Genomic DNA, 23,616 nt, shown 5'->3' with positions numbered 1-23,616 from the left:
ATGGGTCATGATTTTCATGATTATGTTGTACAAACCAGTCAATTCTGTGTAAGTAGGCTGCTTAACACAAGATCAAAAAAAGAAGAATTACCTAAGACTAAATGAATGATTTAATTGTGGTTAACATTTTATTTTAAATGGTCATAAGAGAACAATACTTTCATCTCAATCTATCTCTAACCCCCAACTTAAGGTATACTTTATAGAAATAGTAATATCTTTCCCCCTCAGAGATCAGGGAGAAAAATATCCTGTGAAAGGTTTTAATATAGGTTATAAGCTAAAGAAGCCACCAAAAACATTTTATGAATGATTCTGTAGAAAAATACTGAATATAGGGCCGGGCATGGTGACTCACGCCTGTAATCCCAGCACTTTGGGAGGCCGAGGCAGGCAGATCACCTGAGGTCGGGAGTTGGAGACCAGCCTGGCCAACATGGCAAAACTCCATCTCTACTTAAAATACAAAAATTAGCTGGGCGTGGTGGCATGTGCCTGTAATACCAGCCACTCGGAAGGCTGATGCAGGAGAATCGCTTGAACCCTGAAGGCAGAGGTTGCAGTGAGCCAAGATCATGCCACCGCACTCCAGCCTGGGCGACAGAGCAAGATTCCATTTCAAAAAAAAAAAAAAAGAAAAAGAAAAATACTGAATATATTGTTCAGTCTTGTCCAGAAACTGCTTAGACCAATGATTAAATACTGTATAAAGTATCATAACTCAATCTTTTTACTTTTTATGACTCAGTTTACACAGTTTCCATAAGAATCTGTTCTCCTGCCTACCAGGATAAAATTGGGTAAGTCAGACCAGGCACGGTGGCTTATGCCTGTAATCCCAGCACTTTGGGAGGCTGAGGCAGGTGGATCACCTGAGGTGATCCTCTTGAGGTCAGGAGCTCGAGACCAGCCTGACCAACATGGTGAAACCCTGTCTCTACTAAAAATAGAAAAATAAGCTTGGTGTGGTGGTGGGTGCCTGTAATCCCAGCTACTCAGGAGGCTGAGGCAGGAGAATCACTTGAACTCAGAAGGCAGAGACTGGAGTGAGCCGAGATCACGCCATTGCACTCCAACGTGGGTGACAGAGCGAGACTCTGTCAAAAAAAAAAAGAAAGAAAGAAAGGCCGGGCGCGGTGGCTCACGAGGTCAGGAGATCGAGACCATCCTGGCTAACACAGTGAAACCCCGTCTCTACTAAAAATACAAACAATTAGCCGGGCATGGTGGCTGGTGCCTGTAGTCCCAGCTACTCGGGAGGCTGAGGCAGGAGAATGGCGTGAACCTGGGAGGCGGAGCTTGCAATGAGCAGAGATCTTGCCACTGCATTCCAGCCTGGGCGACACAGCAAGACAACGTCTCAAAAAAAAAAAAAAAATTGGATAAATCAAATTTGTAACCGTAACCACACTGGAAATGTGAAATTTAAAAATGAATTTCGGGCTGGGCTCAGTGGCTCACATCTATAACCACAGCACTTTGGGAGGCCGAAGCAGGCAGATCACTTGAGCTCAGGAGTTCGAGACTAGCCTGGCCAACATGGTGAAACCCCGTCTCTACTAAAAATACACAAATTAGCAGGGCGTGGTGGTGCATTTCTGTAATCCCAGCTACTCGGAAGGCTGAAGCACAAGAATTGCCTGAGTCTGGGAGGTAGAGGTTGCAGTGAGCCAAGATCATGCCACTGCATTCCAGCCTGGGCAACACAGCAAGACAGTGTCTCAAAAAACAAACAAACAAATAAATAAACACAAATTTCCTTTAATTAGGTATGACAGGGAACAAAAATTGCATCTTTTTTCTTTTTTTTGAGATGGAGTTTTGTTCTGTCACCCACGCTGGAGTGTAGTGGCGCAATCTTGGCTCACTGCAACCTCTGCCTTCCGGATTCAAACGATTCTCCTGCCTCAGCCTCCCAAGGATTGCATCTTAAATATAGAAATCATGCCTACTAAATCTTCACAAGAAATCAATTTAGTATCTCTTCCACAGCTTATAGATTCCAAGCTTTGAAGAGAATAAAGAATAGTATTTCCCAAAAAACCAGGAATACTGACAAATGTGGGAATCTCAGAGAACCCCAAGATACCCTACAATTATAGGTACTGCAGATGAAAGCTCATTAAGTCAGATGATGCGGTTTCTGGTAGTGGAGACAAGCTAATAAATAAATAAGTCAATTATAGCAGTTCACAAAACATCCATACAGAGGTTAACTCTTACCTTCCTATCAAATGGACATAGTTTTGTTAAGCACACAATAGGGATGTATTTCTGTATTTTAAATCAACACCTCATTAGACCTATGTGAATCAAATGGCTAAAGAAAACATGAAAATATACCAAATCGGAAAATCATTTAACAAACTTTATGGCCAAATCTGTGCCTTAAGAGGCTGGAGCTTGATTTCAAGGAAGGGCTATGGATGAAAAATGATACTTTGTCTCAATTTTGAGTAAGCATGTCCAGCAGATGTTTTTAAAGGAGGGCAAGGAGGAATCCTATGTGGAATTAGTGCCCAAAATAAATGCCTTCATCCCTAACTTTGCCAATGATGAATGCTGCCAAACCTTGCAGATATGACAATCAATGTGAGAAAATGGCTGCTTTTTCACCAGGAAGATGTTTACTGTAAATTTAGTGAATTTAGTAATCGTGTGGCGTTTTTTCCTTTAAATACCCGTTTGTTTTTTAATGAGTCAGTCCTAAAACTGGTCTCCATCACAAACCTTTACAAGTAAACTACTTTCTTAAATGCTTATTTACCTTACTAATGAGTGGTAATATGAAACCGACCTTTCCAAGTTACTTTTTAAATGCATTTACATTCTAGCTCCAGAAATCAAGAATATTATTTTCATAAATCTCCCTGTACTGCAGGGCTCCCTGCACATAGTTGCTTCTTAATAAATATTCATGACTGACTAATTGATTCACCAATTGATTAAAGCTAGAGATATGTGTGAGGCACAGATGCTAAGCATTTTATATATCTAATCATATTTAACCCTCACAACACTACCATGTAGGTGGTAACACCACATTTTAAAGATAAAGAACACTGAGAGGAGACACTAATTGCCCAGGTCCCAATACAAAACTACTGTTCTTTCCACTTCACTGTATAACTAACTGATTTTAGGAAAATTTTTTGTTTTTTCTTTTGTTCTTCTTTTCTTTCTTCATTTTTTTATTTATTTTTATCTTTCAATGTTTAAATCATTTAAAGTAAGTTTGGTGGGGGAAGAGGATTATACAAACCTAAAATACAAAATAATTATATCATTCCATCTTTTCCTCAAACCCTTATTAATTTACATACGTAGGTTCTTCACAGTCATATTTTAGAAACTTTTTATTAACAAGCAACTGGTTCTTAATGGATGACATTGAAAACTGTTTTTCCTAAAAGCAACTATTTATTATTTTTCATATGTAAAGTGCCTGTCAAATCTTCCCATGACAATTCATCATGTGGGTATTTGCCATCTGAGTAAATTACATGTTTGATTAAAAAAAAAAAGTTCTGACATCTGTGGATAATGAGTTAAATAAAAGAAAATAATTAGAATATCTTATTCCCTTTTTTTTTTCACCTCCACCTAAAACGAAGGAATTCTATTCTTTCAATAAGCAAGTATTTATTGAATATTAAGGGAGGCATGGTGGAAAGCAAGGCATGGTGGAAAGCAATCTTACACTTTTAATAGTGGTCTTATCATACCTTATTAGAAAGGATTTGTCTTAAAAAATTGTCAGATATATCAATAAGATATGATTCCTAACCCCAGGAAACTTATAAAGTACTACACAAAAAACAAATAACTATAAATATAAAAGTGGAAAGGAATAAATGCCTTTAAAAAATATATGAAGTAAAGCAAAGAAAAATTAGAGAATTTCCAGTTGAGAGCAACAACATGCTTTAATAGGCATACTATGTGGGTGCCATGGCAACTATGACTTTTATTCACAAAAACCAAGGATTTGTATCACAGAGCTATTAAGAGTTCTCCTAACACACTACCTTCCTTTCTGGCTCTAAGATTTTGAACATACTATTTATTCTCTTTACTAGTATTATCTGTCTAATTCATTCCTTAAAATACAACTCCCATAAAATCTCCTTGATCTCCTTCCAACACTCTCACCACTTTCTGTACCCTACAAAAATATATATTGTTTTACTTGTCATATTCTGTAGAAAGCTACTTTTAACTACTTACTTATTAATCAGGTAAGTTTTGCCTATATGCAGAGAATTTACAACCACAATCTTTTTACCTGTGTATATTACAAGGCCCTTGGAAGTCACATTTTCGGCCAGGCACAGTGGCTCACACCTGTAATCCCAACATTTTGGGAGGCCAAGAGGGGAGGATTGCTTGAGCCCAGGAGTTCAAGACCAGCCTGGGCAACAAGGCAAGACCCCCATCTCCACAAAAAAAAAAAAAAAAAAAAATTACAAAATTAGCTGGGTTTGGTGGCATGTGCCTGTAGTCCAAGCTACCTAGGAGGCTGAGTCAGGAGGATCCCTTGAGCCCAGGAGGTCAAGGTTACAGTGAGCCATGATCACACCACTGCACTCCAGCTGGAGTGACAGAGTGAGACCCTAGTCTCAATTAAAAAAAAAAAAAGTCATATTTTCCATCATGGAAAATGTATATTTTATACATACAGTTATAAACAGAGAAAAAAAAATCTGGATAAAATAATGCAAACATAAACTATTCAAACAATTGTCACTCGATTCATCTACAGTCCTTTTGAATTAAGCAAGTTAACCTGTAAAGTTCAAAAATACTACACTGAGTTTTAAAAATTTGAAATTCTAATTCTTGCAAAACTAATCATAATGTTTTCAACGGCAAGCAGAGAGGGGAAGAATTCTATCAAATATAAATATTTATAATAACTGGGACCCCAACCACAAATCATGAACACAAAACCCCCAAAATACCATTTCAATGGAAAATATACAGTTATACTATAACTGAACCTAAATCTTAAAAGAGAAATAGTTTTCAGTACCAAATTATGAAGTACTTTGAGACCACTTCTCCCAATTCCTTATATAGCAGAAAATGCTATTCATTAATATCCATTTCTCTTTTATAAAATTCTCTAGTTTTAGCTAAGCATATGATTATCCAGCTAGATATATTTCCCAGACTTCCTTTCCCAGCTAAATATGTCCCAATGACTAAATGATCACACATAAACCATGAGTCAAAGTGCTATGTGCCACTTCCATATCATGCTCTCAAAAGAAAGAATATGCACTCCCATTGTTCTTTCTTCCTTGCCTCTAGCTAGTAAAACTAGAGAGTAATCATGTTTCACCTAGTGATGGAAGCCATATGTTAAGGCAAAACCACTTACAAACTCTAAACAGTCTTACTTTGTATGGTTACATGAGAAAAAAACATGTGTCATCTTTAAACAACAGGAATGGAGTCTCCTATACTGTGGCAGCTTAGTTTTTACTCTAATGGAATTCACTTCTGACATTTACCACCTAAAAGGAAATAAAAGAGTTCAAAAGCAGTCTCTCTTTTCCCTTACATGCTTTTTCCTATGACATTCTATCTAATAAGAGTAACAGGGCAGATATACATCTAAGGCTCCAAAGCCTTAGCTGGGAATAAGCTGCAGCAGTCAAGTCATCCTTTATTGTTCCATCAAACTCTTTCTCCTGGTCCTCAAAACAGCAGATTCCCTTTCCATCTTTTTAGCTTTATCCTTCTACAAAATGGTAGGCATTATCACTGAGAATTACTGAACCAAAGAAAGTTCCTTTTACAGCTTTGACAGTTCTGAGGACAACTATTCTAACATACAAATCAAATTTCTTATTAGAATGTTAAATTATTAGAATGCCAAGAGTGATGGACACATAATTTCTAGGTATCAAACCAGATAATACTTCCCCAAAGTAGCATAGGGCTATACAAACAACAAAGAAAGGGAGAACGGATCATATATAGTAAGACATTATGGCATTACTACCTCACATCACCATCATACAAAGGGGTCCTCTCTCCCAAATACAGCTAGTTACTACCAGTTATTGGATATAAAAGAACACAAAATGTTTCTTATAATATTCTGAGCAATGGAAAACTGCAGACATGAATAAGTGCATATTTCTGATGGCAAAGTTAATAAGTCATCTTCATTTCCCAGATTCTCATATTCATATAGGTCCAACTATAAAGACTCTCAGGAAGGTATAACTGTTCCCTTAGGCCTATGGTATTTTTTTTTTTTTTTTGAAAAGTGGCTGAGGTACCTGAGTCATCCTCTTAAAGATTCTAAACTCCAAATGATCGAAATTTAAAATTGAAACATTCACACCATATAAACAAGCACTAGTAGCCCTGATCTACTTATTCTTAACTGAAAGTGCTCCCCAGCACTCACTCTCTGTCTCCAATACAAAATGGTTTCCACCATGCAAGCTGAATCATCTATAAAAAGTTTAATTTTCTTTGTTTTCAACAAATTAAAATGCCTGGAGGAGCCCCTGATTTACTCTGTGGATGGCAGGACAATCTGAGAAAGAACATGGCAAAGTAATGTTTAAATACTCTTGGCCTCTCTAATAAAATATAAGGTCAAACAAGCAAGAAGTTTAAAAGAGAGTTCCACTAAAGGATAGGCAATTTCTAAGTACTCTAGGAAAGTGACAAGGACTATGGTCTCTGAAGCTAATTAATGACATTAAGGTAATCTGTTTAAATAATGTTAAAACATCACCTAATTTTTCAATCAATAATATGCCCCACAACTGTTAGAAACTCAAAAGGCAGGAACTTTATTCTCAAGCTTCTTTATACATGTGACTCCCTTGAAAAACAAGGTATGCAGCCAATGCATAAATTTTCCATAGGCCTCAAAACCTAAAAGAAAAAATTATAATAGAAATCCTTCTAAACTAAATCACACGCTCATTTCCCTTCTGAAATAGGTTAAATATAACAATATTCTCTGATTCAGAATCATTAATAAAATCATCAATTAATAATGAACATTCTATAACTACTGATTCAGCTCTGGGAATACTGATTCCCAAACTAAATAGCCTCATAACTAAGTTTATAAATTATTGCTTCTAACAGTAGAAATATAACCCTCCTTTACTATCATGATGCTGGACATCATTTCTTTTCCCTACCAAAATGCATTTCTCAAGTAGCACTTCTAATTTTTTACTCCTCATCTGTTATAGTCTAGAAACCAAGTATAATAATAAACCAGAACTAGAAAAAGTTCTCAACTTTCACAAAAAAGTAAAATATCTAAGCTGTTATAAGCAGTGTTGCTTGAAAAAGACCCAAAGGCAGGGATTTTTCATTAAAAAAGATAAACTGCTTAAGAAAGGCCAATAATATCTTAATATTTTATATCCATTTTCTAGATTTATTTTCATAAAGCCAATAATATTTTATCATTTGAGTTCTATATTTCCGTGATTTCTTCTTTTCATTCCTCCACTAATTTACAAGTTTAGTTCAATAAAAATGTTATTTTGGCAATAAACTGACTCCTGAATCAATTATTTAAAAGATATAAAGTAGAATTACAGCTGAAATACATCCTTATTAATCAAGATAATCTTTTTCAATGCAATCAGCATAAAAAAGAGATTTAATGGAAAATAAATTTATTCTAATAATTAGGGAAACATCCTTATCAGAAAATATAATAATTTAATGATACCAAGGAAACTAAAATAAAAATTTTTTATCTTTATTATGAGATTAAGCCTCACCCTGGCCAGAAAAGGAGTAAGGTACCTTTTCAAATTCCTCCATCAAAAAAAAAAAAAATTGTCTGTGTTTAACAAAAAAGGATTTTGATTTCGAATATTGTACAATACTTTATTTTGCGACTTATTTTTCCCACGTCTAACTTCATACTGATACTACTTTTATGTCATCATGTCCTAAACCAGATTGAAAACAGAAATATAACCTTATATTGTCTCCTAATTCATCCCTACTAAAATTATAGCTGCACCAAGAAAACATCCTCCTGAAAAGTCACAGATACCACAAATTCTCCCAGAGTTCCTAGGAAATAGTGCTTTTTGGTAGTCTACAGGAAGTGTGTAATACCGATGAATTAAAAAAAATAGTATAAGGTTATAAATTCACCCAATGTAAATTTAATGGAATTGTAACCAAAACCATTAGCTGGCTTTTTTTTCTTAATTAACCAAATGAACCTAAAGTTGATCTGCAAAAACAGTCAAAATCAGCTATGAAAATTGTAAAATAGAATTGTGAGTGGGTATTGGATTTTATATAGGATATAGCACTACAAACACATATTTAAATTGTGTACCGTCCTACAGCAAATAAAACAATGCAATAATGCTCTAAGAATAAGGCCCAGATACAGTCATTGTCAACCTCTGTTTAAACTTTATATCATATATTCTTTTGAGAAGCTAATGAAAGCTATCACTTTTTCCCCAGAAAAATGCACATAGGAGGCCAGGCGCAGTGGCTCACACTTGTACTCCCAGCACTTTGGTAGGCCGAGGCAGACGGATCACCTGAGGTAGGAAGTTCGAGCCAGCCTGACCAATATGGAGAAACCTCGTCTCTACTAAAAATACAAAATTAGCCGGGCATAGTGGCACATTCCTGTAATCCCAGCTACTCAGGAGGCTGAGGCAGGAGAATCATTTGAACCTGGGAGGCGGAGGTTGCGGTGAGCTGAGATCGTGCCATTGCACTCCAGCCTGGGCAACAAGGGCGAAACTCCATCTCAAAAAAAAAAAAAAATGAACATATGCAGACTTACATAAAATTGTGTATATCAAGGGATCGGTGGAACCCCTAGAGGACAATGGACCCCAGGTTAAATATACCTAGTATATGAATCAGAATTGTTTGCTACCAAAGCAATAAGAAATGGATCAAGTCTATGGAAACTAGATATCTGGAAAAAAATGGAAACTAGCAACTTATCTTAACACACAATATGTCAAAACACAGATATGTCCACATAGATGTAAAAGTATTTTTTAAGTTTATTAAAACTTCCAGAAAAAGTTCTAGTAAAAAATTAACAAAACACATGAACAAGGCTGTGCACGGTGGTTCACACCTGTAATTCTAGCACTGTGGGGGCCAAGGCAGGCAGATCACCTCAGGTCAGGAGTTCAAGACGAGCCTGGCCAACACGGGGAAACCCCGTCTCTACTAAAAGCAGGGCATGGTGGTGCACGCCTGTAATCCGCTACTTGGGAGGCTCAGGTAGCAGAATCGCTGGAACCCAAGAAGAGGTTACAGTGAGCCAAAATCACACCACTGCACTCCAGCCTGTGAGACAGAGCTAGACTCCACCTCAAAAAACAATAATAATAAAATAAAATACAATATAAACATACAATTCACCTTACAACAGGTAATATTTTCTGGGCAGACAAGTGCTGTAGAAATCATAAAGGAAAAAGGAAAGGCAGTACAGGCTGGACATGGTGGCTCATGCTTGTAATCTCAGCACTTTGGGAGGCTGAAGTGGGAAACTCTCTTGACCCCTGGAGTTCAAGACCAGCCTGGGCAACATAATGAGGCTTTGTTTATTAAAAAAAAAAAAAAAAGAAAAAATTAGCGGGGTGTGATATCCTTCACCAGTAGTCTCAGTTACTCCAGTGGTGGGAGAATTGCTTGAGCCTGGGAGGTCGAGGCTGCAGTGGGCAGAGATCACTGCCACTGCACTTTAGCATGCGCAGCAGAGCAAGATCCTATCTCAAAAAAAAAAAGGGGGGCAGTACATTTTACTACATAAAAATGCAAAACTTCTTAACATATACAATCATAAACCACTTAAAAGGTAATTTTAAAATTACTGTGACAAATATTAAAAGCTAAGGACCCCAAAGCCGTAAGTAGCTGTTACCAACAAATAAGAAAAACAGTAACACTCATCATAGAAAAATACACAAAAAGTCAAACAGCTAATTCACAGAAAATGAAAAAAATGCATATATAAAACAATAACAAATTCAACTTCACTAGTTATCAAAAAAAGTTAATGAGCTACTATTTTTCACCCATCTAATTGATGGTGGTATTGAATATGATAAAAAATGCTTTTCAAAAAAAAGTTTTTATCAATTTTGCAAATTACTTTAAAAGTCCTTTGAAAGTAATTTCAAAGAAATATTCTGAGGTATAGTACAAGAACGTTCACTGTAGCATTATTTTTAATAGAGAAATGAGCAAAAAGCAAAACAGGAAACAAAAAATGAAAGGTTTAATAAATCACAGTAAATTCTTCTTAGAGATAACAATAATATGTAACCATTTTAAAATGTGTTTAAAAAGAACATTTGATCATGTGGGATATTATAATAAAGTATCATGCAACCATTTAAAGACATATTTTAGAAGAATAATGAAATGGGAAAATACTCATAACATTAAAAGAGTAGAAATGAAATTATGGTACCAATGAAAAACTAATTAATAAACATTTATAGATTGCTCAATCATGGAAAAGTGAAGTCACAAATCACCAATACCTTTAGAGTGGTTATTTCTAAGCATTGTTAATTAATTTTCAATATTTTCCAAATGTTCTATAATGAATAAGTTTAAAAATATTTAAATACATTTATCACATATGCAAAACCTAATTTAAAGAAAAAATAGTTCTAATTGTTTAATAACTCAAACCTGTCTTTTCTAAACTACATATAAATTTTTAAATTTACAAAACTACAAAGATTTTAAATAACTTCAGTAACTTGGTATTCATTCCTGGAGTAACCTAGTCTTAATATTTATATATGTTGGATATGTGTCAAAATTTTGTGGCATCATAACCACCAAACTAAAATTTTAAAATATACTTGTTATTGACAAAGTACTAATAAACAAATAGTTGGTGTTCAGGCAATTAATTAATCTTATTAAGTTTACATGATTATATCTGCCTTGTAAGAAACATGACAGCAAAATCGTCCCATCAATAAATATGTTCTTCATATTCAAGAGCATTTTCAAATACCTCTTACTACCTTCAATATTAACCTAAAAAGCAATCATCTGTATATTCAAATGAAAACATACGCTTATATACACCAAACTATTTCATTTTTCTGGAAATGTAAAGTGTACCATGCCCTAAGATCAAAGATCAAAGTTCTTTTGTTAACCGAAATATTTATGTGTATGTTCAACTCGAAAATGCCTGAAATAGCATGTGGTAGAAAGGGGCTGCTAGGTAACCACTCCAGAAACATAAAAGGGAGAAAATTACACAACTGCTCTCTAAATATACTTCTGTGTAGAAGACCTCAGAGATCCAAGAATTACATCAGGTCAAATATTCTCTTGAGAAAAAAAGAAGAATCTTTCCTACCTCCATTCTATCTCATATGTGACGTCATTTAAAAATCCACCAACCAAAAGTATTACTTTCAATTACATCTAGGTAATATTTACTAATGGTATTTGTTTTAGGCAATAAAAATTTCCCTAAATTAACCGAGATTATAAAGCAAGAGGCACGTCTTCATTTGACAGTAGACTGATTCAAACTTAAAGAGTTATAACCAACCAAGAAACCAGTTGTTGTATATATGAACCACAAATGAAGTCTATGGAAAACATTTGCAAGTTTCTTTGCTTAGTAAGAAAGAATTTGCACAACGGGAGAATCATATCAAATCTTATATAACTTCCCCCAATTGTGTTACATAAGATTTAACTATAGTTGACACTACCATTTTAAACTAATCAGTAGCATATTTATAATTACCTTCCCTAAAAAACTATTAATAAAACCAGGAGCACACTTACAATTAAAAAATCAAACACAACTGTATCTTACACACATGCATACAGTACAGTGTTTAAAAGAAAAAAACAGATTTTTTTTATTAATGGTCCACTTTCTTCAAAGAGGCCTCAGGGTAATGGATGTTCTTTCTAGAATTCTTCATCAGAAAAATTTACCAAATAAATGTTATAGCTTACATATCATAGCAAACAAAAATGCTAAGAAAATGAGTTGATTAATTTCAAAAGTAACAATAATCTAGCTGAAGCAGTAATGAACAAGTCACCTAAGAAACTTAAAACATGTAAAATTCAAATGCCCAGAAACATACAAACTGATTAAAATTAAAACTTTATTTACTTAGGATCAAACATTTAAAACCAAAATAATCCTCAGATTGAGATTTCATTTTCGATTATACTGTAATTTCTTCCACTATTCCCGTTCCCCCAATATTCCCAAAACTAAAATTGTTTCTGTTTTGTAAACATTCCACACATCCATAACAGAACAGGTAAAAATAGGGTTAAAAATGTATTTGCAAATATGCAGTTCAAATAAATGCACTTCCCGTGAGAACACCACTAGGTGCTGATCTTTACCACCGTAAATATAAACCTGAATCCAGTAATACTTTAAAACTGAAATTATAATCAAGAACCACAAATGAAAATCATTTTTACAGAAAATTAAGTCCACAATTTTTCAAAAAATCGAAAAAACAGAGAAGAGCTTGAGGTCGGCCCAGGAGTACAACATTAGAGTAATGTTTTTCTTGAAAATTGTGAGAATTTAAGGTTAACACAAAGAAACCCCTCAAGAACGAGGAAAATTAAATCTAGAACCCAAATGGCGTCCAACAAGAACATTAGATCTTGAAAATGAATATTGCGCTTGCGCAGCCACCGCCCCGCCAGCTGCACAACTGCAGCTAGAGCCCGACCCCGCAAGATCACGTGCTCCCATGCAGCGCCGCCCGCAGCTCCGCAACCGCGCAGGCGCAGACACAACTCCCGCAGCCGCCATAATGCGGTCTTGACTCTTCAGAAATACAATAGTAATTTAAGAAAATGTGGTTTTAACAGCCCCTGGGATTCACATATACCTTTTGGGGCGGAAGCTGAGGGAGGGGGAACCAAGTTCCTTCCTACAGAGCCGTCCCGCGCAGCCGTCCCCGACGTTGCCGCCTCAGCTTTTCGCGCGCTTCAGTCGCCGCGCCGCCGCTGCCACCGCCGCCGCCTCCGCAGATTCAAAAACAAACCCGCTTCTCCCTTGCACGCGCCGGGGCCGTTATGCAAATTAATATGGGCGGGGCTCCGGGGGGTCGTGCTATGTACCCCGCCCACTGTGCTATCAGCCAATAAGCTCAAGGACTAGCCATTCCCCATGCAAATTCTGGTTTTTTATTTGAATGAGGGACATTGGCCCCGCCTCCTGCGTGGAAAAGAGAAGGAAGCCCGAGGTGGTGGCGCTGCGTCTCTCAGTTGCAGTGTGAGGTGTGTTTTTTGAGTGGATCTTCCTCAATCAATAAGTAGCACTTTGTGAGCGCCCTCTATGAGGCTTAGAAAAGAAAGAAGGAAGGAGGTAGGTGAGAGTTTAAAGAGCAGAGGGAAAGATTTTCATAAAAGCCAGGAGTATGTTGATTTATTCATCATTTATGTTTTAAATTCACAGAATGTACTTTGAATTGTATTAATAATGAAGGAATGAAAAAAACATACTTTCTTTCAGTTGCTTGGTAACAGAGCAAGCACTTTTTATCATACTCTCTCACCAGAAGTTGTATTCATCCCATTTATTCAATTTCATGCTGGGAGTCGGCCTTTAATGAATTCCACAGGAGGTAGTGGACAAGTCACTGCCTTACTGGTTAAGAGATCTGGGTTCAAGTTCAACTACTGCAGCTTCCTTGCCGGTTCCTCGGAATAAGTGTGTTACTCAGTTTTCTCACCTGTATAATGGCAATCATGACTATAGTTGAACTAGGTTGGAAGCACTAAATGATAGAATAAATGTACATATGTTTTGGCCAGGTGCCGTGGCTCAGGCCTGTAATCCCAGCACTTTGGAAGTCTGAGGGGGGGTGGATCACCTGAGGTCAGGAGATCAAGACCAGCCTGGCCAACATAGTGAAACCCCGTCTCTACTAAAATTACAAAAATTAGCTAGGCATGGTGGTGCGTGCCTGTAATCCCAACTACTCAGGAGGCTGAGGCAGGAGAGTTGCTTGAACTGGGACCTGGGAGGCCGAGATTGCAGTGAGCGAAGATCTCACCACTGCACTCCAGCCTGGGCTACAGAGCAAGACCCCTTATCAAAAAAAAAAAAAAAAAAAAAGAATAAAAGTACATATGTTTTGCAAGGCAAGAATAGCCTGAAAATAATATTAGATGGTACCGTGTGGTTATTGTTTTTTTATGTAACTTCTCATTATATGAATGTATTGGTTCAGTATTTATTTAGCAATCACTGTGTTGTAGATCTGTTAGGTGCCTGTCCTCAAGAAATCTGTACTCTAGTGAAGAAGACAGAAAACTGAACAAGAAATTTTTGTAACTAATAAGAAATTAGAATAGGGTTGTTAATACTTATTTTTATAACTGGAACCATTCAATTTACTTAAAATATAAGGTGGCCTTTAGAAATATCACCTAGGGCCGGGTGCAGTGGCTCACGCCTGTAATCCCAGCACTTTGGGAGGCCGAGGCGGGCAGACCATGAGGTCAGGAGATCGAGACCATCCTGGGTAACATGGTGAAACCCCGCCTCTACTAAAAATACAAAAAAAAAAAAATTAGCTAGTCGTGGTGGCACGCGCCTGTAGTCCTAGCTACTCGGGAGGCTGAAGCAGGAGAATCACTTGAACCCGGGAGGCAGAGGTTGCAGTGAGCCAAGATCACGCCACTGCACTCCAGCCTGGGCAACAGAGTGAGACTCCATCTCGAAGAAAAAAAAAAGAAATATCACCTAATCCAGACCTAGAGAATTAGAAAAGCCTTCCTAGAAGAGGTCATCTCTATCATGATAAATGATTTAATTAATTTTTTGCCTAAAAGTTGGACCTCATTGGGACAGCAATGAGGAATCATTTAAAAGGTTTTAAGTCGGGATATAACACAATTAAATTTGCATTGTTTAATCGCTAAATGTTGTAACATCATTAGCACAGTCCTTAGCATATACTCAATAAATTATAGATGCTCAATTATAATTTATTTATTATAATTTTCATAGTACATCAGTGCTCAATTATAAGTAGATGCTCAGAAAATTAGAAATATTGATATTAAATGTTACACTCCATAATAATAAGAGAAATTGGATTGGAATACTAGAGCCCATTATGTTTCTCTTTTTATGTCTTCTGTAAGCATATAAAAAAGAATCATTTTTATAATAGTCTATTCTTTTTTTTTTTTTTGAGACAGAGTCTTGCTCTGTTGCCCAGGCTACAATGCAGTGGCGTGATCTCAGCTCACTGCAACCACCACATCCCGGGTTCAAGCAATTCTCCTGCCTCAGCCTCCTGAGTAGCTGAAATTACAGGCGTCCACCACCGCGCCCAGCTAATTTTTGTGTTTTTAGTAGAGACAGGATTTCACCATCTTGGCCAGGCTGGTCTCAAACTCCTGACCTCATGATCCACCCGCCTCGGCCTCCCAAAGTGCTGGGATTAAAGGCGTGAGCCACCACATCTGGCCTTCTTTCTTTTTTTTTTTTTTTTTTTAAGACAGTCTTGCCCTGTTGCCCAGGCTGGAGTGCAGTAGCACGATCTCAGCTCACTGCAACCTCTGCCTCCCAGGTTCAGCGATTTTCCTGCCTCAGCTTCCTGAGTAGCTGGGACTACAGGCACACTCTACCACGGCCGGCTAATTTTTTGTATTTTCAGTAGAGATGGGGTTTTGCTATATTGGCCAGGCTGGTCTCGAACTCCTGGCCTCAGGTAATCTGCCCACGTCAGCCTCCCAAAGTGCTGGGATTACAGGCATGAGCCACCATGCTTGGCCTATGATAGTCTATTCTTGATTATCCATGCTAATAGCAAATGGAAAAATAATTCAGCATAACCACAGATTTATCAGTTTTCTTAGATATGCTCATATTCTAGACTTGCCTCCTGAAGACTCCAACTAGACAATTTTATTGGATTCGAATCTCCTCAGATATCCTCAACCACAGTTACAGTCTCTTCAGCCATGCAAACCCGCTGGTTGACCTAATCAACTATTCATTGATTTGTTCAATGAATACAATATTTATAATGTCTCACAAACTATTCTGGGCACTGGGGATGCCCAAAGGAAATGACACTGTTTCTCATGGGGAAAGAGTTGTAAATACAGATAAACATTATGAGATCATTAATATTTTGGTGGTATGTCTTAAGCATAAAAAAATTCTAAAATGAGAGAACCTAAATCTTCCTCATACTATATGGGAAAACTTCACAGAGGAAGTGATACTTGACCTGACTTATGATGTAGAACTTTGTACCTAGGCTGTCAGACTAGGTACAAAAGAAAGTATTCAAGTTAGAAAATAACAGAAAATACAAAAACAATGAAGAATGAAAAAAGCTGAACTTAAGACTTCTAGGTAGGACCACATTTAAAATATTTATCAATCCCTATATCACTGACCAATCAGAATGGAAGCAGGCTTGAAGACTTCCCTCCCCCCACCCTATTTTGTCAGGTGTTAATTCTTTAGTTGTAGGATCTTGAAGAGGTCCAGAGGCTCTTCAGCTGGGGACTGAGCCTGACTTGGTGGTATGAAGGGTGTGGTAGGATGGGGCAGCTACTTACCAGTTAGTACAAAAGGATTTTCATATTTTATCTACCATTATGTTTTTATTGGTATATTTAGGCTAAAATGATACAGGCTAAATATAATTTTCCTAGGAAAAAGTGCTAGAGTAAAGTAGGATCATAGAACCTGTCTCACAAAAAAAGAAAAAAAAAAAAGACCTAAACTAAAATAATAAATATAAACCAATACATTTCAGTTGTAGCAACTGAACAAAGAAAACAGAACTTTTTAAAAACAGCATAGGCCGGGCGCGGTGGCTCACACCTGTAATCCCAGCACTTTGGGAGGCCGAGGTAGGTGAACCACCTGAGGTCAGGAGTTCGAGACCAGCCTGACCAACATGTTGAAACCCCATATCTACTAAAAATATAAAATTAGTCCCACGCCTGTAATCCCAGCTACTTGGGAGGTTGAGGCAGGAGATTTGCTTGAACCCAGGAGGCAGAGGTTGCAGTGAGCTGTGATCATGCCATTGCACTCCAGTCTGGGCAACAAGGGCAAAACTCCATATCAAAGAAAAAAAAAGAAAAACAGCATAAACTCCGAAAAGCCATTGAAATGGAAAACTGAAGTTTCTGAGTACAAAATAATAAAACAGGAAGCTTAATCTAGTGCTTTCAGGTTCTGAAGGCTTACTACCTGAATTGAAACCTTGGCTCTACTTCTTACTTGTTTAGTGTCCTGAAATTCTCTACGCAAATGTTTCCCAGTCTATAAAATGGGGATGATAAAAATAGCCCTCCCGAGCAAGCACAGCTCATGCCTGTAATCCCAGCACTTTGGGAGGCAGAGGCAGGTGAATCACTTGAGCCTAGAAATTCCAGACCAGCCTGGACAACATGGCAAAACCAGTCTCTACAAAAAATACAAAAATTAGGCTGGGTGCAGTGGCTCATGCCTGTGATCCCAGAACTTTGGGAGGCCAAGGTGGGCGGATCACTTGAGGTCAGGCGTTCAAGACCAGCCTGGCCAACATGGTGAAACACCGTCTCTACTAAAAATACAAAAGTTAGCCAGGTGTGGTGGTGCATGCCTGTTATCCCAGCTACTCGGGAGGCTGAGGCAGGAGAATCGCTTGAACCTAGGAGGCAGAGGTTTCAGTGAGCCAAGATGGTGCCACTGCACTCAAGTCTGAGCAACAGAGTGAGACTCGGAATCAAAAATTAATTAATTAATTAATTAATATAAAAATTAGCCCAGTGTGGTGGTGCATGCCCGTGGTCTCAGCTACTTGAGAGGCTGAGGTGGGAGGATCGCTTGAGTCTGGGACGTGGAGGTTGCAGTGAGGGGAGACTGGGCCACTGCACTCCAACCTGGGTAATGGAGTGAGATAGTCTCCAAAATAAAAATAAAAAAAATATGGCTAGGCGCAGTGGCTCACGCCTGTAATCCCAGCACTGTGGGAGGCTGAGGCCAGCAAATCATAAGGTCAGGAGTTCAAGACCAGCCTGGCCAACATGGTGAAACCCCCGTCTCTACAAAAAATACAAAAAAAATAGCTGGGCGTAGTGGCAGGCGCCTGTAATCCCAGCTACTCGGGAGGCTGAGGCAGGAGAATCACTTGAACCTGGGAGGTGGAGGTTGCAGTGAGCCGAGATCGCACCACTGCACTCCAGCCCGGGTAACAAAGTGAGAGACTTCGTCTCAAAAAAAAAAAAATTATATATATCCCTGATCTCTTAAGGTTATTATGAAGACTAAATTCTGGTAAAATACTTGGAGTAATACTGGATATATAGTGATGGCCCAATAAATATTATCTAAGAGTAGTAGTAATAGTAGTACTTGTAGGAGTAGTACTAATACATAGTTCAGCTTGAACAGTTTCTATCAGTACTCCCCACCCTCCCATTAAGAGAGAAGATGAATCAACAACAACCTGATCATTTTTATTATTGTCCTCAAACTTGCAGAGAAGTTGAATGAGGTGTTAAATAGGCAAATTTGGAAAAACTTAAGAAACAACTCTTGAGAATAGGAAAATGACCTCCATGATCCTCACCTTCTGGTGATCACAGTCTCTATAATCCTCTTCTCTTGAGCGAGGGCAGAACCTGTAACTTGCTTTTAGCCAAGAATTTTGCAGATGTAATAAAGAACCAAATAAACTGATTTGGGGTTAACCAAAAGAGATATTATCTTGGGTGGACCTGACTTAATCTGGTAAAAGCCCTTTGAAAAGAAGCTGGATCCTCCCTGAGGAGAGAACTTTTCCTTGCTTGCTTGATGAAGAAAGCAGCCATGTTGAATAAGCCTATATGGAAGGTTACCACAAGTGGCCTGTAGGTTCTTTGGGTAACCTCTAGGACCTGAGAGCAGGCTCCAGACAACCAGGAGCAAAAAAAAAAAAAAAAAAAAAAAAAAGCCCGGTCCCTCAGTCATATAGTCCTGAGGAAATAAAAGCTACCAACAAACTGAATGAATTTAGATTTTTCTCCAACCAAGCCCCCAGATGAAAATACAACCCAGGTAACACCTTGATTGCAGCCTCTGAGACCCTGAGCAGAAGATACACCTATGGCCCAAACTCCTGACCCACAAAAGCTGTGAGATTATAAATGTGTATTGTTTTGTTACTAAGTTTGTAGTAATGTATTACCCAGCAATAAAAAACTAATACAGGAAGTAATTAGAGAAGGGAAAGGGCATCATTACCATCTTCCAACATAGATAGGCTACCTAAATAGGTGAAATGGTTCTTATTAGAAGATATTGAACTAGGACTCACTGAAAAGTATAGAACTGGTATTGCAGTTTTAGCTAGGTAAGAGGGACCTCTGTCCTGGTCCCCACAAAAGATATTTTTAAATGAGCAGCTGTCTAAGATGGCCAGGGAGTGAGAAAGAAAGGAGTTTCCACAATGCAAAGCTCTTCGGGGCAGAGCCGGGATGCCAGGTGAGACTCTGGGCCTTCTTCTTTTTTTTTTTTTTTTTTTTTGAGATGGAGTCTCACTCTGTCACCCAGGTTGGAGTGCAGTGACGCCATCTCGGCTCACTGCAAGCTCCACCTCCTGGGTTCACACCATTCTCCTGCCTCAGCCTCCTGGGTAGCTGGCACTACAGGTGCCCGCCACCATGCCCAGCTAATTTTTTGTATTTTTAGTAGAGATTGGGTTTCACCACGTTAGCCAGGATGGTCTCGATCTCCTGACCTCGTGATCCACCCATCTCAGCCTCCCAAAGTGCTGGGATTACAGGCATGAGCCATCGCACCTGGCCCTTTTTTGTTTTTTTTTTAGGAAGTGGGTTTTGACCATGTTGCCCAGGCTGGTCTCGAACTCCTGAGCTCAAGTGATCCTCTTGCCTCAGCCTCCCAAAGTGCTGGGATTATAGGCGTGAGCCACCATGCCTGAGACTCTGGACTTGTGAGTTAGTTTTGTAACAAGTTAAGACTTTGAGGCTATTGGGATGGAATGGATGTATTTTGCATGCGAGGACATAAATTTGGGGAGCCAGGAACAGAATGTTATAGTTTGAATATGTCCCCCAAATTTCATATTCAGTGTTGGAAATTTAATCCCCAATGCAACAATGTTGACAGGTGAGACCTTCAAGAGGGGATCAGGTCATGAAATCTCTGCCCTTATAAATGAATTAATGCTGTTATCTTGGGAGTAGTTTGGCTCTTTTAATAGTAGGCTCCTGATGGCCAGACACGGTGGCTCACGCCTGTAATCCCAGCACTTTGGGAGGCTGAGGTGGGTGGATCACGAGGTCAGGAGTTCAAGAACAGCCTGGCCAAGATGGTGAAACCCTGTGTCTACTAAAAATACAAAAATTAGCCAGGTGTGGGGGTGCATACCTGTAATCCCAGCTACGCAGGAGGCTGAGGCAGAAGAATCACTTGAACCCAGGAGGCGGAGGTTGCAGTGAGCTGAGATTGCATCACTGCACTCCAACCTGGGCGACAGAGTAAGACTCTGTCTAAGAAAAAAAAAAAGTTGGAGCTCTCTCTCTCTCAATATGCACATGTGCATATGATCTCTTGCCCTTCCACCTTCCACCATGGAATGACGCAGCAAGAAGGCCCTTGCCAAATGTAGGCCCCTCAACCTTAGACTTCCCGGCCTCCAGATCTGTAAGAAATAAATCTGTTCTTTATAAATTACTGCCTCCCAGGTATCCTGTTATAGCAGCACAAAATGGACTGAGGCACAGGGATTTCAATTGACTTGTATGGTTGAAGATTTGAGGGAATTACCATTTCTCATGTTCTTGCTTTGATTAGTGATTAATTTTCCATTAAATAAAAATTGTATAATATCCTTTTCACAGATTTTATGTGGTTAATGCTTGAGAGAAGTCTACTCACTTTTATTCTTTACAGTTTTTGTTTTTGTGTTGTTTTTGTTTTTTTGAGACAGAGTCTTGCTCTGCCACCCAGGCTGGAGTACAGTGGCGCAATCTCAACTCACTGCAACCTCTGCCTCAAGAGTTCAAGTGACTCTTATGCCTCAGCCTCTTGAGTAGCTGTTATTACAGATATGCACCACCATGCCTAATTTTTTTTTTTTTTTTTTTTTTTTTGTATTTTTTAGGTATGAGACACCACACCTAGCCCTGAAGCTGCTCTTGGTTGGGGGTCATCCCACACCTAAGAAAGAAAGATGATGGCTCTAAAGAAGATGAAAAAGTCATTGGTGTCAATCAACTCTAGGCTCCAACTCATTATGAAAGGCAGAAAGTAGGCTGGGCACCGTGGCTCACGCCTGTAATCCCAGCACTTTGGGAGGCCGAGGCAGGTGGATCATGAGGTCAAGAGATCGAAACCATCCTGGCCAATGTGGTGAAACACCATCTCCACTAAAAATACAAAAATAAGCTGGGCGGGGTGGTGCGCAACTGTAGTCTCAGCTACTTGGGAGGCTGAGGCAGGAGAATGGCTTGAACCCGGGAGGTGGAGATTGTAGTGAGTCGAGATCGCGCCACTGCACTCCAGCCTGGCAACAGAGCGAGACTCCATGTCAAAAACAAAAACAAAAACAAAGAAAGTGTAAAGTATGTGCTGGGGTACAAGCAAACTCCAAAGGTGATCAGACAAGGCAAAGTGAAATTGATTATGCTCACCAACAACTGCCCCACTTTGAGGAAATCCAAAATAGGATACTGTGCCATGTTGGCCAAAAGTGGTGTTCATTACTACAGTGGCAATAATATTGAATTGGACACAATGTGCAGAAAATACTGCAGAGTATGTGCACACTGATCCAGGTGATTCTGATATCATTAGAGGCATGCCAAACAGATTGGTGAAAAGTAAATGATGCAAAATGTTTCTTTTACGAAACTTGCGAAGGCTGGGTGCAGTGGCTCAACCCTGTAATCCCAGCACTTTGGGAGGTCGAAGCGGGCGGATCACCGGAGGTTGGGAGTTCGAGACCAGCCTGCCCAACATGGAGAAACCCCATCTGTGCTAAAATACAAAATTTGTCGGGTGTGGTGGCGCATGCCTGTAATCCCAGCTACTCCGGAGGCTGAGGCAGGAGAATCGCTTGAACCCGGGAGGCAGAAATTGCAGTGAGCCAAGATTGCGCCATTGCACTCCAGCCTGGGCAACAAGAGCGAAACTCCATCTCAAATTAAAGAAAGAAAGAAAGAGAGAAAAAAAAAGAAAGGAGGGAAGGAAGGGAGGGAGGGAGGAAGGAAGGAAAGAAAGAAAAAGAAAGAAAAGAAGAGAGAGAGAAAGGAGGGAGGGAGGGAAGAGAAGAAAAGGAAGGAAAGGAAAGAAAAACTTGTGAGAGCAAAGTCCAGAGTTTCATCTGACTCATCTATGAGTGAGACTCAAGGCACAATTCATTCTGTGGCAAATTCCTTTCCAGCTGTGAGCCTGTGAAATTAACAAGTAACATGCTTCTAAAATACAATGGTGGGACAGGCGTAAGATAGACATTCCCCTTCAAAAAGGGAGAAATAGCCATAAAGAAAGGGGTAACAGCTCCCAGGTAAGTCCAAAATCTAACAGGGAAAACAACATTAAGTCTTAAAGCTGGAGAATAATCTTTGCCTCCATGCTCCATATCCTGGGCACACTTGAGGGCATGGGGCTGGGCCTCCAGGGATGTAGGCAGCCCTACCCCTATGGCTTTGCTGGGCTTAGTCCAACCATCAATTCTTACAGGTTGGAGACTCCTGCCTGCAACTTTCCTAGGCTGGGAAAGATGGGAGCTGCATGCTGGTGGCTCTACAGTTCTGTGACTTTGAGGGCTGTCCCACTCCCGTGCCACAAAGTATTACTCTAGTGGGGGCTGTTACAATTACTCTGCCCAAGATAAGTAATTGCCTGGGCCCCTACAACAGGCTTTCTACAACATTCTTTGAAGTCTAGGTGGAGGCCATTATGGCCCCATAGCTCTTGCATTCTGTATTCCTGCAGAATTAGCACTCCATGGATACTACCAAAGTTTATGGCTTGTACCTTTTGGAGCAGTGGTTTCAGCCAGCTAACCTCACTTGACTCACAGCGGGGATAGGTGAGGAGCACTGCATTAGAGTTCAAGAAACAAAGTCTCAAGGTAGCACAGGGCAATGAATGCTGAGGTCCCTCAGGTGTCTCACTGGAAACCTTGCATTCAAGGTTTTTTGTTTTTTGTTTTTGTTTTTTTTTATTGATCATTCTTGGGTGTTTCTCGCAGAGGGGGATTTGGCAGGGTCATAGGACAATAGTGGAGGGAAGGTCAGCAGATAAACAAGTGAACAAAGGTCTCTGGTTTTCCTAGGCAGAGGACCCTGGGGCCTTCCGCAGTGTTTGTGTCCCTGGGTACTTGAGATTAGGGAGTGGTGATGACTCTTAACGAGCATGTTGCCTTCAAGCATCTGTTTAACAAAGCACATCTTGCACCGCCCTTAATCCATTTAACCCTGAGTGGACACAGCACATGTTTCAGAGAGCACCGGGTTGGGGGTAAGGTCATAGATCAACAGCATCCCAAGGCAGAAGAATTTTTCTTAGTACAGAACAAAATGGGGTCTCCTGTGTCTACTTCTTTCTACACAGACATAGCAACA

The 23,616-nt window shown here is 39.2% G+C and overlaps 1 protein-coding gene, 1 long non-coding RNA gene and 1 pseudogene across 5 annotated transcripts in view, besides 4 other annotated features; 2 read left to right on the top strand and 1 right to left on the bottom strand.

Annotated features, from left to right (window-relative positions):
• The window catches only part of ATF7IP (activating transcription factor 7 interacting protein), a 137,249-nt gene extending 124,195 nt beyond the window's left edge, over positions 1 to 13,054 (bottom strand). For all 4 annotated transcript variants that reach the window (NR_170893.1, NM_018179.5, NM_001286514.2 and 1 more), the window contains exon 1: positions 12,909 to 13,054. The gene's annotated coding sequence lies outside the window, so the exon portion shown is untranslated. The remainder of the gene's footprint in view (positions 1 to 12,908) is intronic.
• Positions 11,339 to 11,478: an enhancer, noted in NCBI's record as "active region_6046". NCBI's record gives its function as "activates an Ori minimal core promoter by ATAC-STARR-seq in GM12878 lymphoblastoid cells {active_cell/tissue: GM12878}" and the evidence as "EXISTENCE:reporter gene assay evidence [ECO:0000049][PMID:35858748]".
• On the top strand, positions 11,546 to 21,894 carry LOC124902884 (uncharacterized). The gene is made up of 2 exons (XR_007063220.1): positions 11,546 to 13,387; positions 21,150 to 21,894. It is a non-coding gene; the product is annotated as an uncharacterized LOC124902884 (long non-coding RNA).
• Positions 12,656 to 13,473: an enhancer, noted in NCBI's record as "H3K27ac hESC enhancer chr12:14518197-14519014 (GRCh37/hg19 assembly coordinates)". NCBI's record gives its function as "activates a minimal SCP1, AML or CMV promoter by ChIP-STARR-seq in naive H9 embryonic stem cells {active_cell/tissue: H9 hESC(naive)}" and the evidence as "EXISTENCE:reporter gene assay evidence [ECO:0000049][PMID:30033119]".
• Positions 12,835 to 12,894: an enhancer, noted in NCBI's record as "active region_6045". NCBI's record gives its function as "activates an Ori minimal core promoter by ATAC-STARR-seq in GM12878 lymphoblastoid cells {active_cell/tissue: GM12878}" and the evidence as "EXISTENCE:reporter gene assay evidence [ECO:0000049][PMID:35858748]".
• Positions 13,365 to 13,424: an enhancer, noted in NCBI's record as "active region_6044". NCBI's record gives its function as "activates an Ori minimal core promoter by ATAC-STARR-seq in GM12878 lymphoblastoid cells {active_cell/tissue: GM12878}" and the evidence as "EXISTENCE:reporter gene assay evidence [ECO:0000049][PMID:35858748]".
• On the top strand, positions 21,599 to 21,871 carry RPL30P11 (ribosomal protein L30 pseudogene 11; annotated as a pseudogene).

This window comes from Homo sapiens, chromosome 12, assembly GCF_000001405.40.
Source record: "Homo sapiens chromosome 12, GRCh38.p14 Primary Assembly".
NCBI lineage: Eukaryota > Metazoa > Chordata > Mammalia > Primates > Hominidae > Homo > Homo sapiens.
Note: the sequence above shows the minus strand (reverse complement) of the source record. Positions and strands in the feature narration are given on the sequence as shown.